The sequence below is a fragment of the Homo sapiens genome, chromosome X (assembly GCF_000001405.40).
Source record: "Homo sapiens chromosome X, GRCh38.p14 Primary Assembly".
Taxonomy (NCBI): domain Eukaryota; kingdom Metazoa; phylum Chordata; class Mammalia; order Primates; family Hominidae; genus Homo; species Homo sapiens.
This window is the reverse complement of record NC_000023.11, coordinates 12,687,705-12,703,646: the sequence shown is the minus strand read 5'-3', so window position 1 is coordinate 12,703,646 and position 15,942 is coordinate 12,687,705. Positions and strand designations below refer to the sequence as shown.

General features: G+C 40.1%; 1 protein-coding gene across 14 annotated transcripts in view; it reads right to left on the bottom strand.

Annotated features, from left to right (window-relative positions):
- FRMPD4 (FERM and PDZ domain containing 4) overlaps positions 1 to 15,942 on the bottom strand; it is a 902,085-nt gene that overhangs the window by 20,877 nt on the left and 865,266 nt on the right. For all 14 annotated transcript variants that reach the window (NM_001368398.3, NM_001368395.3, NM_001368402.3 and 11 more), the window contains 3 exons: positions 13,321 to 13,452; positions 9,193 to 9,312; positions 1,637 to 1,773 (listed from right to left, as the gene is read on the bottom strand). In NM_001368398.3, coding sequence (NP_001355327.1) covers positions 1,637 to 1,773; positions 9,193 to 9,312; positions 13,321 to 13,452 — 389 coding nt within the window. The remainder of the gene's footprint in view (positions 1 to 1,636; positions 1,774 to 9,192; positions 9,313 to 13,320; positions 13,453 to 15,942) is intronic.

The following is a 15,942-nucleotide window of genomic DNA, read 5'->3' as shown; positions in this document are numbered from 1 at the left end:
CCCCTTCTAAGAAGGTCCCATATTTTGAATTCTAGGAAATCTATCCTGGAGTAGAAATCCTACCCTAGGTTATGTGTCTAACCAGTGTCTTCTAAATTATGTGAAGACCTTCAAGAGGATTCCAGTTATTTCTCCTGTTCTAGGTCCTCTCCAAAGAAGGGTAGGAAGACAACCTACCCCCACCACTTGACCATTCATATTCTTCACTAGTTAAGATGGTATATTTCATGATCATTATGTTTTCTTCCTTCTCAACTTGTACTTATTGTCTTATCCATCATTTGGCACTACTTATGGGCTTTCTTGTAATCCTACTTGTATCATTATTTTAAATAATTACTTTTCCTATCTTTATATCTTGTTTTTACAATCAGACCACAAGTTCCTCAATGGCCAGGAATATAATTCATACATATTAGTATTTTCTACTATCCTAATGTGAGTGCTATATAAAATGCTCAATGAATATTTGTTGGTCAAAGGAATTTATGAATGAGAACATTATTACAGACTTTTCAGGATTCTTACTCAAGCCAGATATCTCTGAGACGTTTTTGACCATACAATGTTCAACCTGGTAAAATGTGGGTACACAAAGTAGGAAAAGAAATGCATTTTAATTGTCTGAAAATCAACTCCGGTTGTGCAGGCCACCTTTTCAAATGGCAGCCAGTTTCACCTGTCCCCAAGAACTTTAAAAAGGAGAGTGGAAGAGTGTGTGAATGTGTCCAGCTGAGCACGAGATCTCTTTGTGAGCCAAGTCTTTCTCAGGCTACAGTCACGCTTATGTGTGGGGAGAGAGAGAAAGCATCTGGAAGGAGTGAACTGAAGGCCTGAGGTTCTCAAATTGCATATGAGGATTTGTCCCTACATGTCAACAGGTGACTGAGAGTTGTCAGAACAGTGGTGTTGAAGTCAGCAAGTTGGAGATTTAATCCTTCCCAACACAGGCTCATGAATTTATTGAGAAAAGCCATTTTGCCCCCTGGTGGGTGAACCTGGCATTGTGGAATTTAGAAAGGCTTTCTAGGCAGCCCATGAGAAGTTTCTTTGGAAAGTGGGATTTTAATTAGTTTATACATCTTTTGGAGGTGAGATTGTAAGCAGGGTGTGGGGGGAGGTCCAAGGCTTTAGCATTACATGTGTTTCCAAACACAGGTGCCTCAACCCATCACACAATCTATAGCACAACGGGGAGTCCCACTGCCTGGGTTTGAATCCTATATCCCCGCGTTAATAGCCATTTGACTTGGGCAAGTTATTCTATGACTCGGTTTGCTCGTCTGTAAAATGAAGCTAAAATCCTACTAATCTCATAGGGGTGTTGTGAGAATTAAACAAATTAATGTGTGAAAAGTGCTAAGACCAAAGCTTGGCTTGGAATCAAGCCCCTTTAGGAATTCAAAAATTTATGCTTCGTTTTAAATATGTCCCTCATCTTAACTACAATGCTCTAAAGGTGGATTAGAAATGGATCTCTTCTGCCAGAAATGAGCATGATATTCATACATTTTGCCACTGGCGAATGAATGCTTTGACACAAACAAGATCAATTTTGGACAAATAACAAAAATACACCCGGGCTAAGGGAGGCGGCATGTCTGTCTCCGAAATGGCGCTGAGAGTCAACACTTACTCGATGTATTTGAGGGAGATTTTCTGCGTTTGCTTGGTGGTAACGGTTGCAATGTACATTTGTAATGCGGCCAGCCGCAGGGCTATGTCATATTTCAGCTCCGGCCCAAATCGCTCCTGAACCACATCGTTACAACTCTGCGAAGAGACCAGCAGGGGGCACAGCTTGTCAAAGAATAGGCCGCAGCGCGTGGACTTACAGAACAGGTGACATACATTTCCCGAGTGATTCAACCTTCACTTCCCAGGCAAGGAGGCTAAATGTGGAAACATCTCCACCGTGCTGCTTGGAAACGAGTCAGTATTGAATTGCAAGCGCAAACACAGAGACCACACAAAACATTTAGCATTCATCGACGAGCTGCTATTTAAATATTTAGCTTTTTGTAAAAACAATTAGGAATTTAGGTATGAAATTTCCAAACACAGGTGCCGCAGTTGAATGCACACAGCATTGATAGCATAATGTGGCTTCTGGAGTTAGGCTGCCGGAATTGGAATCTTAGGCTTGAAACTTGTTTCTCCACTTCATTAGGGGCACAAACTTGGGCACCTTCTTAATTGTCTGTGCCTCAGTTTTCTCTTCTGTAAATTGGGGATAATACTGCTCCCTCTTCACTGGGTTGTGGTGACCATTAAATGAGTGAACCATGAAAAGTTCTTAGAATCCCAGCACTTTGGGAGGCCAAGGCGGGTGGATTACGTGAGCCCTGGAGTTCAAGACCAGCCTGGGCAACATGGCGAAATCCAGTCTCTACAAAAAACACAAAAATTAGCTGGGCATGGTGGTGTGTGCCTGTAGTCCCAGCTACTAGGGAGGCTGAAGCAGGAGGATCGCTTGAGTCCAAGAGTTTGCGGCTGCAGTGAGCCTTGATCACACCACTGCATTCCAGCCTTGGCAAAAGAGCAAGACCTTGTCAAAAAAAAAAAAAAAAAAAAAAAAAGAAGCCAAAACAAAACCCCAAAAGCTCTTAGAACCGTACTTGGCAGGGTGTAAGCCCTCTTACATGTTTACTACTGTCACTGCTAACATCATTCTCCTCCTCCTCCTTATCAGCCACAGCAGCTGCAGGGAGGCAGAATTAGCACGGTGAGTGAGCACAGTGGCTTGGGACTCATATCCACCTGTTCTGGCGTTCTGCCTTTCCCAGTGGCTACCTGTGTAAGTAATTTTAGACCATTCACTTTAACTCTTGCAGCCTCAGTTTACTCATCTGTGCAAACGGGATTCATACTATCTCACTGGAGTGGCTGGAGGATTAGATGAGGTGCACATCAAGTGCTTTATCACAGCACATTGGTACCTTGGATAAGGGGAGCTATTGAACTCCTCTGTTCACTTCAATGGCAACTGCCCTGCTTTTTCAAGTGCCTGACTTTCTGGGAGTCATTCCTCCTCTTTCAGCCTTAGTTTGTTCATCTGTAGAATAAGGTCACCTATCTCACAGGGTTTGTTGTGGGGATCAAATTGAAGAGTGGCTGAGAGTGTGTCATCAAGTGTAAAGTGCTGCATGGGAACAGAGGTTGGCTTTGGAGTAGTATCCTCACTTACTGCTTAGACACAAGGCAGTGAGCTAAGTGCTGCTGGGAAGCGCTGCATTGCTTAGGCATATTCTACACGTGCGTTCACTTACTTTTGTTATGGGAAACTGGATTCCTGGGCTAGAAAATATGGTATTTAGCTTCTTTCTTATTTCCTCCTTTTCTTTATTCTTTGGCTTGCCCCAAGAATATTTTGTTGGAGCTCAAAAAACAATATCCCAAAATGAAGGCCTCAGAAACAAAAGTATTTCTTTGACCTTCTCCTGCCCTCCTGTTTTTTAATTTCTGTTATCCCTGGAGGCTAGCCATAGAAACTAGAATCCCTCTTCCCCAAGGTGGGTCATAGAAACTAGAACCCCCTTTCCCCAAAGCCAGCCTTAAAACCTAAAAATATGACTCTAATTTTCCCTCTGCCCTGTGTAAAGACTGGCCATAAAGAAATTATCTGACCAACATGGTTTGATTGTAGGTCATAAGACTCCCATTCCAGAAAGGGTCCTGCCCCACACCCAGAAGGAAGGAACGCTGCTCAGAGAGGCCAAGAAGAATCTAGGCCTTGCTAGGTTTCTTCATTCAGTCCGTTAGCATTAGGTCAGGCCCTTTTAGTCCAATCCTATTTCTACATGGCTATCCATACTTTGTTGAACATTAGCATAAAAATGGACAATTTCCCTTGTATCTTTGGGATTTCATTCTGAAGGCTCCCATGGATATACGTTAAATATATTTGTATGCCTTTTCTCTAATTCATTTGTCTTTTTTGACTTGATTTTTTAGTGAAACTTCTGTGGGCCCTTGGCCTCAAATGAAAAACTATATCAAGATTTGCTTGCCTCCTTTCCAACAGAAGCACATTTATAACCGCTTCCTATATTGATTTTACTAAAATAGGAACATATACCCCTGGATGGCTTCTGCATACAATATTTACACTGTGCACACTCACCCATGCTGCACCGGTGCTGTGCCGTGCGTGCACGCTCTGTATCCACGTGCCATGGGTGCATGTCTCTCAGCCCATCACTTCACTGCTAAGAGTGAAGTCACATTCTCTCACCTGTTCATCCCTAATGTGATCTTCCACCTTTGCTTCTCCTTAAAATCTTAAACCTATTTGGATTGCACAGCACCCCTTGTCAGAAGTGGGTCTGTCCAGAGACAGGAGATAGGGTGGTCTGATTTAAGGCAGCCTCCGAGAGCAATTACAGGCTGCCATTTTGTTTTGCTAGTCTTGGGTTTACCAGTTATTTCCAAGTGCTCAGGGTTGTCCACATGAGCTCCAAGGGGTTGAGAGCCTAGATAGGGTCATTTTATACAGTCCCATAAAGGATGGGGTGAGAAAACCATTGGCACAGTGAGGAATCAATTTTTTGAGAAATCATTTTGATAAATCATTTTCTTCAGCAACTGCTATGCCATAATGGATTGAAAGAGGATTTGGGCATAGAATTTAGAGACAAAAGCCCCAGGTTTGATTCTAAGTTCTGTCAACTTCTAATAAAATGACCTCGAACATGGCATTTCATCTCTCTTCAGCCTCAGTTTCCTTATCGGAAAAATGGGTTAAGTCTCAAAAACAACTAACTTGAGAGTTAGCAATGAACTCGCAAGGTTGCCATGATACCTGTAAATATGTTTCATGAAATGGAAGATACTTGATAAAGATTAGCCATCACTATTACTTCTCCTAAGAGTCATAGCTGGGACCATATTTCCCATCACTGCTTTACCCTGTATTTAACTAGGCTTCTGGATGAATTTTTTGACAAGGTGATTAATTACATGATATAATTAGTTCAGACTGATCCTGGAGAATGAAATTTGGAACATATATATATATTCCAAATATATATATATTTGGTACTAATCATGCTTTTATTGCTCTCAACTGTATTACTTAAAATACAGTTATACAAGCAAATGGGTAGTATCTGTTTTGCTAAATAGAGGTCCCAAAAGGCTCCACTTGAGGCTTCCAGAATGTTCATTTATAACTAACATGTTAGATCTTAAAAAGGAAACCAATAGTACTATAGTATTTGAAAACATTTTGGAGCCTCTTAGGTCTTACTCATTTGCTAATTGACATAACAGTCTTTTTCTTAACAGATAGTGGACAGGTAAATGTCAGTATAGCCCGTTGTAATGATAAATTTGAACAATCTGGACTATTAGCATTTATTGTTAATATATATGCTAAAATCTGTAAAATATGTCATGGACCATTAAGAACTAGGAGATTAATAGATATTACTATTGCAACTTCTGTTTTCATGATTCATCTAGTCAATGGCTACTGTCCTCATTAGGAGCCCACTAAGTTAAATTGATTTTATCTTTGTAAAGTGATACATGTTGCTCCTGCTTACTCTTTTGTTCTCTAGGCTTGTTTTATTGCATCTTTTTAGTATCTTGAAATCAACATGGGCACCCAGACACCATTTGCAGATCTGTTGACTTATATTAGATGTTATTTTAGACTTATGGTAGCACGCATTCTGTGATACAAGGCATTTCAAAGAAGAGGGTCTGAGGCAAAGACATTCTGATTTCCTGTTTCAGCGGAGGATATATGACAGTTGCTTTATTTTGGTCTTTATTGCCTACCATACCTGTTTTTCTATTTTTCCCCCTCTGGCTATGCCTTGAAGAGGTGGCTAATTCACTGCCTATTTTATACCCAAGGCAAGAAAGCAGAAACATCCTCAGTCTTTTTCTGTTAGTCCCTGGGCAAGATTTCCAGACACATTTTCGTGTTCTGAGGACAGTCTCACATGTATAAAACATGTGTCTGTTGAATAAGAAAGATCTCCCTAAGCTATATTAGATTTGTGCAAACACACCTTAAACAGAACTGGGTTTAGCTGTACTCCTTGTCTACTTAAGAGGTCTCCTCTCCCCAAGACAAATGCAACCACATTGTTCTTTTATAAATGCAATGGACTCGTGATGTTTAAATGGAAGCAGAGTAAAATAGTTTTAAAGCACCATCTTGTGAATGGGGTGAGTATATAATTATAGAGAAAAACCACTGAATGCACTCACTGTCTACAGCGACTACTGACCAGCGCCTATAACTATTTATTTGCAACTAACAATGTAGCACATGATCTGAGCTGCAGTAGCAAAGCCCTGGGTTGGTTTTCAGCAGGGACATGGGGAAGATGCAGTAACAGATCAGCTGAGAATCAGGCTCTGTTTCATGCAGTCACGCCTGCTGGGGACAAGGAGATATTGTTGACAAGTGAGGGGTCCAGGTGATCAAAGCTTAACATTTAAAAAACCCAAAACGTGGCAGTTTCGTTGTTCGGGGTGGAAAATATTTTAAAGCACACTACACATTTCTTTACTTGGTCAACAGGGTTCATTGAACAGGACTTGACTTTTCCCAATGATGTAGGGTTATCTTCATGAACATTAATCATCCCACTGAGCTGTAAATACCACAGTCTTCCAAAGACCACTGAGGTGGGGAAAATTTGACTGGCCTCACCCTGAGTGCCCCCATCTGCTAGAACATTCTTGTATGTTCTGTGTCTTTCCTGTCTGACTTAACCTGTGATCTTCAGGGCTTATTGCCACTTTAATTTATGTCACCATTCTTAACCTCTGATACCTACCTTGTCTAGTCTCTCTTCCATCTTCCGCCTACTTTTTTTTCTACCCAGCTTTTGAAGATTACAAATGTTTTGAAATATACAGGAAAGTATTGGAAATGGTAAAGCAAACACCAGTGTTATTAACTACCTAGAGTTAACAAATGCTTCTTTTTATTATATTTTTCTTACATTTTTGCTTTATATCTTTTATATATGGCTCCAGCAATCTTTGCCTTATACAGATATTCTCAAAGACAGTGTGTCTTTTTTTTTTTTTTTTTTTTGCTTCATTTTTGTTTTTTCTCTCTTTCTGGCAGTGGGGAGGGGGAGGTTATGTTTAGATTTGCAACCTCTTCGAGTAGTTAGTTCTACTGCTAGATGTCTAAGCTGTCTAAGGATTAGGTCAGTTGGTTCTTACTGTTTAATGTGATTATATTGGAAATTTAAGTGAGAGTAATAGGAAGCAGTTATAGTAAAATATAGGAACACCTCATAAATATCAACTTGGATAAATTCCCTTTGGGACAAACTACACCAGATACTCATTCCTGGAAACTTTCATCTTTGGGGAATTATAGCTCAGAATCAGATATCAGTCTGGAAAAGACTGTTCTCTTCAAGTTTTACCACGTTGAAATTAACAATTCAGTAAAATGAATATCACAATTTTACAGAATAATTTAAGCATCAAATGAATGAACAAATAAGTAAATAAAGGAGAAGGGAAAACTCTCATCATACCAATTAATAAATGCAGAAGCAATAATGAAATTAGAAAAATCATAATTTTCAACCACAATTATAATAATGGATTCAGATAAGAATAATCAATTAGGGCTGGGCGCGGTGGCTCACGCCTATAATTCCAGCACTTTGGGAGACTGAGGTGGGCAGATCACCTGAGGGTGGGAGTTCGAGACCAACCTGACCAACATGGAGAAACCCCATATCTACTAAAAATACAAAATTAGCCTGGAGTAGTGGTGCATGCCTGTAATCCCAGCTACTCGGGAGGCTGAGGCAGTAGAATCTTTTGAACCTAGGAGGCAGAGGTTGCGGTGAGCCAAGGCAACAAGAGCGAAACTCCGTCTCAAAAAAAGAAAAAAATCATCATTCAGTACTAAAACTAGTGGGTGAGAGTTTGATGAAGAAGATAATAAGAGTTACAGGCCGGGCACGGTGGCTCACGCCTGTAATCCCAGCACTTTGGGAGGCCAAGGTGCGTGGATCATGAAGTCAGGAGTTTGAGACCAGCCTGGCCAACATGGCAAAACCCCGTCTCTACTAAAAATACAAAAATTAGCTGGGCGTGGTGGCAGGCACCTGTAATCCCAACTACTTGGGAGGCTGAGGCAGGAGAATCACTTGAACCCGGGAGGCAGAGGTTGCAGTGAGCCAAGGTCATGCCATTGCACTCCAGCCTGGGTGACAAGAGCAAGATTCCGTCTCAAAATAAATAAATAAATAAAAAAAAAAGAGTTACAAAGTGACTCTCCACAAATTACTTTTTAATTACAAAAGGAATAGTAGTAGCTTTTGGGTGAATTCGGAGAACATCACCTTAACCAAGAGTCGAAGTTCATTTTGCCATTAAAGGGATAAACTGACATCATGTGCCTCTTGATGTGTTACACTGAGGACACAAAGTCACTCGCGTTGTTCTTCCCAAAATGTATGACATCAATCTAATCATAAGAAAACATCAGAGAAACCCAAATTGAGAGATTTCTATAAAATAGCTGACTAGTACTCCTCAAAACTATCAAGGTCGTGAAAGGCAAAAAAGGGCTGAGGAATGTTCCAGATTTAAGGAGATTAAAGAGACATGACAACTAAGTGCAAAATGGGATCCTGCAGTGCATCTTGTTCTAGAAAAAATGTATATATAAAAGACATTTTGAGGATAATAGGCATAATATGGATATAAACTGTAGATGAGATAATGGAAATGTATCAATGTTTACTTTCCTGATTTTGTTACTTGTATAATAATTGTATAAGAAAATGTCTTTGTTATTAGAAAACACACACTGAAGTATTTAGGAGTAAACCAGAATTATTTTGGTAATTGACCTTCATATGGTTTAGAAAAAAATTATATACATTTGTATGTGTATTTGTGTGGGCAGAGAAAACGTGTATATACTAAAGAGCAAGTAAATGTGGTAAAATGTTAACAACTGGTGAATCTGGGTGAAGGGTATAGATGACTACTCTTGCAACTTTTTTGGAAGTATGATGTTATTTCAAAATCAAACGTAAAAATAAAAAGAGCATCATAGAATTATCGTACGATTCACTGAGCTTGAGGTGGGGGACAAAAAAGAAAGATTTCAAGTTAAAGAATTCAGGGCAAAGCCCCAGAGTTAGTTTATATCACAACATTGATATAAAACATGCCAAAATTTTAACATACCTGAACATAGAGATACTCGAAAGCAACTGGATCTCTCCTTAAAAGGTCAATTGGATCTTTTGGGACGAAGCTAATTCGGAAAAGACATCTCATCTTATGGGAGCTGGGCCTCTGTGTCACCTGGAAGAGTAGACCAATCACACAAGAACCCTTCAGTGCTGACTGAGAAATGGCTGAGGGACACTGAAGCAGTCGACTTTTTTTGGACACTAAGGAAAGAATCAGCGGATATTCTTTTAGTATTTATAGATACTCATTCCCTGAAAACTACACATAACCTTGCCACTTAGGTTGGGTTCCCCAGAAGCAGACCCTGAGATGAGGGGTTGTGTGCAAGGGACTTATTAAGAAAGTGCTCCCAGGGGAGGCTAGTAAGGGAGTGGGGGAAGCAGGTCAGGAAAGAAGAGGAAGCCAAGCAAGGGTGCCTCCTCAGGGAACCCCAGCAGAGAGTAGCTATAGCCTGATCCTGCAGGAGACCATGGAGTGGTAGCTATACCACAGAGCTGCTGAGACCTCAGCCAAAGGAGCACTGATGAGTCATTCATTTAGAGCTGTCCCAGGGGATGTGAGTTTCCAGGTTTGGACACGATGGGCTCCGGTAGTCTGAGGGCAGTCCTTGGAAGAAGATCTGCAGATGCTGGCTGTTAGTGATAGCACCCCAAATCTATGTTGGGGAGTACAAAAAGGGGATCCAAAGAGACAGCAGAGAGATTGTCCAGTATGGTTTATTATTGCATAACATTGCTGTGTTTTGTTTTGTTTTTCCAAATTAGACTCCAGACTGACTATTGCAATGAAAACATGATAGTGTCAACCTTAGATGACATCACATTGGAAAGTAGGAAGACAGAAGTTTTGGCCCATGTAGTACACCAGATTCTACAAGTATTCAAACTACTCCAAACTTCTGATATCATGATGATATTGTTCCACTTGCTCAATGGAGCTTAAAATATACCACAGGTTCTTCAGGGTTAAGGACCATGGCTCATTTCAGTTTGTTTTCATTTTATACAGCATAATATGTGTCACATACTAGAAGTTCGTTTCTTAATTCCTTTTGCAACAAAAGGAAATCAATTAATAAATAATAATAGGTGTTTAATAAACACTTGAATGAATGAAAGACATTGGACTCTAAGAAAGAAGGCAAGAGCTCATCGATTTCCCTTCAAGGAGTCAACAAAACAAAATGAAAACCATGCAGCATGAACCAACACAGTTGTGTGTAATACTCTTATGCAGGGGACAGATCTGGCAATACAAAAATGTGAGCTGCAATTAAAAAATTTAAAATAAAATAGCTTTATTGAGTCCCGTGGTGTGTGTATGCATGCATGTGTATGTATTTACAGTTCGCTAACTTTGTTGAACAGAAGAATTCCAATGGAAAAAGACACCCTACTTGTACATATGTGGGCATCCTGAGTAGTCACACCAGCTTTCTGGCTGTGGGCAGGCCTGCAGAGCCGAGTGGATTCCTGAGACTTGAGGGCTATGGGCTACTTATCACTGGCTGAGGGTAAAGCAAACCAGGAATAAAGAAATTGGGGACACTAAGAGGCCACTAGTGCTGGCCAGCCTTGCTGTTGTGTTTCACAGCGACTTCATGAGCTATTTTGCCAGAAGGTTTGTCCTGGTGTGTTAGAAAGTCAGGAATCACTATATCTCTGACTCCTTTAATTACTGGTTCAACTTTTCTTTCTTGAATTTTCCATAAGCCATCTTATCTTGAGTTTACTTTTAGTATCAGAAGGTTACACTGGTTTTGGGAAATGAATTAACGTAATGCAAAAAGGTTGCCTCAAGCCATTAGAAATGGCAGTCCATAACACTTTCTAAAATAAACAAACAGAAACAATTTCTTGGAAACTTTAAGTAGTATATAAATAATGTTTTCTAGCAGAAGTTTAGTATCAAACCACTAGAAATTCAGGTAAAGTTGCTTAAAAGTTCCATTGGGAGGTTTTCATAGAAATTAAATGTTTTAAAATGATTTTATTATTGGAAAAAATATAATTTCTTACTCTCCACTTTTATCATGCCTACAAATATTTTAGCAATCGATTTTTTCATATGCATTGATTTCAAAGGCATATAGCTGGTTTGTTTCAGGATATTTAAATCCGTTTTCTTTTCTAGAGATTTTTAGCACTTCACTTGATTTTTAGCACTTCACTTCTAGTTCTGATTCTATAAGGAAAAATAAAGTTAAAGAAAGAATGATTATTAGAAGTTTATTTCCTTCCAACATTTTAAAAGAAATGTAACTGGAGCGGGAAGTTGTGTTTACCTAGCATCAGAAGAGACTTTTAGAGAATTTTTGTCCAACTAAATCAGCATGAAGCTTTCCTATAATGGCTATGTAGTAGATAAAAGTTTAGAGAGAAAGTATAACCAGAAAGATCAAAACGTTGTGGGGGGTTTCATTAGACTCGTAGTAACTGGATGTCTGCCCATTTCCCCTTGGCATTTATTGCTATAAGCTGAAGGATATTTACAGCAAACACCTGTGACCATTCGATAGCACAAGGCAAACCCCAATAACAAGAGAGTAGCCCACTATCAATAACAGACAGCATGTCAGTAGGCACATGTCCCAGCTCCCTCGCCTCTCGGTGGGATACCTCTGAGGTGCGTCCTACACTGTCTCCCAGTGCTCTCCGGTAGGACTGAGCTCCAGTTACCCACAGTAGAAACTGGTTTGATAATACATTCTTTATTGGCCTCTCAATTTTTCTCATCTCTCTTCCCCATTCCTCTGTGGGTATTTCCAGATATCTCTTCCCAGATAAACTACATGCATTCAAATCCTTAAGTTCTGCCTCTGGAGGAACTCAGATCCAGACACTGACCTTTCACATGAGAGATTCTGTATATCAGGGGTTGTGCCCCTGTAATGAAGCATAAAATAAGTCCTTTATTTCCAAGAGTGTTTGGCACAGGTTAAAATAATAACCATTAGAAGTGATTTAAAATATCTATAGGTAGATTTAGACTCAATAGAGGCCAGGCATGGGGGCTCATTCCTGTAATCCCAGCACTTTGGGAGGCTAAGGTGGAAGGATCGTTTGAGCCCAGGAGTTCAAGACTGCAATAAGCTATGATTGCACCACTGCACTCCACTCTGGGCAGCAGAGTGAGACTCTGTCTCAAAAAAACAAAACAAAACAAAACAAAACAACAACAACAAAAAAAACCCCAAAAAACTTGATGGAAATAATAAGCCAAGTTTGGGTAGAGGAATATAAATCACAGATGGCAACTTTTGAACTAATCTATTACAAAAAGTTGGACTGAATCAAGAGAATCGGGGATATTTGCAGGACCCAATGTGTGGGACACCAGCTTTTATATACAACAAGGAAGAAGCACTTTAGTATGACAACACTTTTTGCCACTCCATCCAGCTGGCAGCATCTGATGCTTCTCCTCCTGGTGTCCCCTCCTACCCCTTTCCATAAAGTTCTGTTATCATTGATCTCTCCTATGGAAGAGAAATTTGTTGAAATCTTTTATACGTTCAACAAAGACTTTGCTTGTGTCACAAGAAAAATCAGGGTGCTGCGCTGAATTCAGCAGCTAAGCAGCCTGCTTGTCTCCCCAGGGAACAGATGGGGGTGGCATCTTGGTAATCAGGAACTGGGACACATTGGTAGATCACATATTTATAGCGGGCAGGACTGGGGCAGAGATTTCAGGCTTCCAAAAATAGTCTTAAGTATGCACCCAGAATTTCAGACAACTAAATATGATTTTGGATTAATTTAAGTAATCCCAGAAACCATTTCTTTTTAATGGTTTCAAGAGATTGTTGACCAAAACAGGTGAACAGATCACTGTAATCCCATAAAATATAATTTTACAGAGCTGTATTCTCAATGTGCAGCTGGTGAGACTTTGAATGACAAATCTAGTTGTGAGACTGACAGTCTGCAAAAGATGGGCAGAAAGGGAAACATGACCTTGAGGTGTAAAATGCATTAAGAATGCCAGCACTTCCTTTACAGAGGATACCCAGGGATACAATTAATACATTTACAGGATTAGAGTGGGGGAGAAATCTTGGACTGGGCAACCTCTGCTCTAACCTGCAGCCTCATCACTTGAGGGTGAGATTTCACAGACCTGAGTTAGAGTCTCCTGTTCATGAAGCAAGAGCAGCTTCGTTCCAGCCCCTTCTGTCCTCTGCTCCAGCATGAGAGAGAAGTGTTCAATGCCTTTGATGGAGAGCTTCTCTTGAAGGGTTAAGATGACATCCTTACAGAGGAAACATGAACATGATGAGACCAAAATCGAAGCTGCCATCTTGTGGAGTCTACCATGACTGAAAAGTGTTACACATGTAGGCTGCCAATCTTGAAATTTTATACGTTTGGTTGATTCTGAAATTTAATGCTCCAAATATCCAAAAAGATGCAGAAATGAAGCCTTCCTTCTCTTGCCCTTTTCCTGGCCTCCTCGATCATTCAAAATCTTTATGGAGTTCACAACAGAGAGTTAACAAGGTAAATAGCTGGAGGAGAAGCTTAATATCATGTAAGCTCTTGATATAGAAAGGTTGTCAATAGATTGTGCAGTGTAGCCAGTTCAATTCTCCTTTTTTCTAAATGGGGTAGCAATTAAACCAGTTCTGAAAGTGGTCTGCCCCAAGGGTTGGAAAACATGGCCTGCATGCCAAAACTAGCTCACCATCAGCTTTTGTAAATAAAGTTTTAATGGGACGTGGTCATACCCATTTGTTTATCTAAAATCTATGGCTGCTCTTGTGTGCTGCATCAGCAGAGTTGAGTAGCTGCAACAGAGACTGTGAAGACTGAAATATCTGCTTGCTGACCCTGGCTTCCCCTTCTGAAAGAGCAGTGTAGTGGTTGTAAGGAATAGGGGCTAAGAAAACAGTTAGGCTTCTAATCCCAGCTCTACTACTTATTAGCTGTGCAGCTTTGGGGAAGTTATTTAGTCGCTAAGTATCTTAGTTTCCCTGTGTGTAAACTGGGGATAATAATAATGCTTATCTCAGAACGGATATAAAGATTAAATGAGTTCACACATACAAAGCGTTTATTATAACATTGTTTGGCACAGAGTGAGGGCACCATAATAATATACATATATTTATTTTACATCTCTGGGGAAGGTGGAATGAGCAAGCTTTGTCAGCAATCTTTTATAGGATTAAGCATTTATGATCAGAAAGGTGTTCCATGTACAAACACACACATTTACTACAATGTAAAACTAATCTCTTCAACCTATACTTTTTTCATGTACTTGAAAACTGGTAAATGATCCCTCGAAGATAATTTAGACTCAGATGCTAAAAATTCTATAGGGAAGTTTTGCCCCAGTGCAACATTTGGAAATTTCTGGAGACATTTTTGGTTGTCACAATAGGGTTGGGGACACTACTGCCATGGAGTGTGTAGAAGCCAGAAATGCTGCTCAACATCTTGCAATGCAGAGACAGCCCCACAGTAAAGAATGATTTGGCCCAATATCTCAACAGTGTCAAGATCCGGAAACCTTAGAGTGAAAACTTATAGTTTTCTTTTACTGACTTTTCTGATGTTTTAATCCTTCTCTGTGGTCCTTTTTCAATTTCTTCAGGCCCCATTAAATCAAAGATCCCCACATCCACCCACTCCTGAAAAAAAATCATTCAAGAGAAATGCCTTGACTATGTTGAATTTCAAGAAAAAAAAAAAAAAAGATTTCCCTGCTTTATAATTTTCTCTTAAAGCCCAGGAAAGAGAAAACAAAACCAGCCTTTGTGTGGCAACAAATACTTTATAAAGCATTTTCCTGAACCACCAGGGAGGACATTGGAAAATCAATAGCAAGAGTTTTTCCCTATTGTAATTCTGCAGCAAGAATTTTGGCAATTTTTGTTACACAGTGTCATATTCCTTTCATAACTATACTATTTCTCCTTTACACCTACCAGCCAGTGTCTATTGTAATAATGAGGCTGTTAGGTATAAGATAAGATAACTTGAATTTGATGTGAACTCTTTGCATTTCTTCCTGTCTTCTCATTGTCATCTGCAATCCTCAGGGAAATCAAACTTAGTCTTGCATATGTTCCGTAATAAAGAGGCTGGAGGGAATGGACAACAGGGCTTTCTTCAATTTAGATTTATTTCTGTTAAGAAATGCATTCAAGTCTTTACCTCGGTCTTCAGGTGGGGTAGGGAGTCCAATGGCAGGGAGTTGACCAGTTGGCAACACAAAACAAGGCCATGGTGTCAGAAAGGGCTGTAATAATGTAGCTCTGTAGGTTATTTCAGAGGTCTGCCAACTATGACCTGCGGGTTATATCTGGCCATGCCCATTTGTTCACATATTGACTGTGAAGTAACAGATTAACCTTGCCTAAAGAAAAATTTGCTCTTTTTCTCCCACTCTTAGGAAGTAACCTGTAAGCCCTTGGACTGTCCTGTCTGATAGGAGTATTTTTGTTTACTGGGTGGCCTTGGGCCATACCAGATAGTCTGCGCTAACAATTGATTTATAGTGAGAACATTGGGCCATATGGTATCAGCTCTAACTCTGGAGAGACTGGATACTAAGTTCAACCATGCAGGTGGTTAGCTGTGTCTACGTGGAAAACCCCCAATAAAAACTCTGGACACCAAGGCTTGGGTGAACGTCCCTGGTTGGCAGTACTTGATGCATATTGTCATGCATCATTTCTGGGAGAATTAAGCATTACCTGTATGAATCCACTGGAAGAGGACATCTGGAGGCTTT